This window comes from Homo sapiens, chromosome 20 (assembly GCF_000001405.40).
Source record: "Homo sapiens chromosome 20, GRCh38.p14 Primary Assembly".
In the NCBI taxonomy this organism is placed as follows: Eukaryota; Metazoa; Chordata; class Mammalia; order Primates; family Hominidae; genus Homo; species Homo sapiens.
This window is the reverse complement of record NC_000020.11, coordinates 55898929-55901365: the sequence shown is the minus strand read 5'-3', so window position 1 is coordinate 55901365 and position 2437 is coordinate 55898929.

Sequence of the window (2437 nt, the reverse complement as noted above, 5' to 3'; positions counted from 1 at the left end):
CAGACTTAAACCATAAAAACCCTAGAAGAAAACCTAGGCATTACCATTCAGGACATAGGCATGGGCAAGGACTTCATGTCTAAAACACCAAAAGCAATGGCAACAAAAGCCAAAATTGACAAATGGGATCTACTTAAACTAAAGAGCTTCTGAACAGCAAAAGAAACTACCATCAGAGCGAACAGGCAACCTAAAAAATGGAAGAAAATTTTCGCAACGTACTCATCTGACAAAGGGCTAATATCCAGCATCTACAATGAACTCAAACAAATTTACAAGAAAAAAACAAACAACCCCATCAAAAAGTGGGCAAAGGATATGAACAGACACTTCTCAAAAGAAGACATTTATGCAGCCAAAAGACACATGAAAAAATGCTCATCATGACTGGCCATCAGAGAAATGCAAATCAAAACCGCAATGAGATACCATCTCACACCAGTTAGAATGGCAGTCATTAAAAAGTCAGGAAACAACAGGTGCTGGAAAGGATGTGGAGAAACAGGAACACTTTTACACTGTTGGTGGGACTGTAAACTAGTTCAACCATTGTGGAAGTCAGTGTGCCGATTCCTCAGGGATCTAGAACTAGAAATACCATTTGACCCAGCCATCCCATTACTGGGTATATACCCAAAGGACTATAAATCATGCTGCTATAAAGACACATGCACACGTATGTTTATTGCGGCACTATCCACAATAGCAAAGACTTGGAACCAACCCAAATGTCTAACAATGATAGACTGGATTAAGAAAATGTGGCACATATACACCATGGAACACTATGCAGCCATAAAAAATGATGAGTTCATGTCCTTTGTAGGGACATGGATGAAATTGGAAATCATCATTCTCAGTAAACTATCGCAAGGACAAAAAACCAAACACCGCATGTTCTCACTCATAGATGGGAATTGAACAATGAGAAAACATGGACACAGGAAGGGGAACATCACACTCTGGGGACTGTTGTGGGGTGGGGGGAGGGGGGAGGGATAGCATTAGGAGATATACCGAATGCTAAATGAAGAGTTAATGGGTGCAGCACACCAGCATGGCACATGTATACATATGTAACTAACCTGCACATTGTGCACATGTACCCTAAAACTTAAAGTATAATAATAATAAAATAAAAAATATATTAACTTTCCTAGTACTGCACAAGTAGTAAATAGTGGTTCCTGGGTTCCAACAAGCATCTGTATTGACTGTTTTTCTACTGAAAGTCACACATATTTATTAAAGACTTATTCAGCCAAATTAAAAAAATAAATAAATAAAATTAGAAACAACCTAAATCTCCACTAGTGATTCTGCTTAAATGAGTTATGGCAAATCCACATAATGAAACACTCTGTAGTATGACACCATTGAAATGGTAATATAAACCTACATCTACATCTAGGGCAACCAGCATCCTAGTTTGCCTGGGACTGTCCGTGGTTTAGTACCAAAAGGCCCAAGTTTAGAGAAGTCTGTCAGTCCTGGATTAATAAAGTTGGTTGGTCACGAAAATACTTATATAAAAACAGCTAACAGGATGTCACCAAAAAGTTTACTGGGGTTGTCTTGGAATGGTAAGATTTCAAAAGCTTAACTTTCTTTGTTATGGTTTTTGTTTGTTAGAATTTTGTTTTGATTCATTTGAATTTTTTTTCAAAAAGTGTTTACATTTGAGAAAAAAATAAAAGTATATGCATTATAAAACAACCTCTATATAGGCGCACCTCATTTTATTGTTCTTTCTTTGATTGTGCTTCATAGATTGCAGTTTTTACAAATGGAAGGTTTGTGGCAACCCTGATTTTTCCAAAAGCATGTGCTCACTTCATGTCTTGTGACACAGTTTGGTAATTCTCATAATATTTCAAACGTTTTCATTATTATTATATCTGCTATGGTGATCTATGATCAATGTTCTTTTTGTTGTTGTTGTTGAGACAGAGTCTCACTCCGTCGCCAGTGCAGTGGCACGATCTCTGCCCACTGCAACCTCTGCCTCCTGGGTTCAAGCGATTCTCCTGCCTCGGTCTTCCAAGTAGCTGGAATTACAGACACACGCCACCACGCCTGACTAATTTTTGTATTTTTAGTAGAGATGGTTGCCATGTTGACCAGGCTGGTCTCAAACTCCAGACCTCAAGTGATCCACCCACCTTGGCTTCTCAAAGTGCTGGAATTACAGGCTTGAGCCACTGTGCCTGGCCTATGATCAATGTTCTTTGATGTCACTACTGTAATTGTTTTGGGGCACCACCAACTGTACCCATATAAGATGCCAGACTTAATAAATGTGTGCATGTTCTGACTGCTCCACTGACCAGCCATTCCCCCATTTCCCTCCCTCTCCTAAGGCCTCCCTATTTCCTGAGACACAACAATATTAAGTGAGGCCAATTAGTAACCCTGCAATGACCTCTAAGTGTTCAAA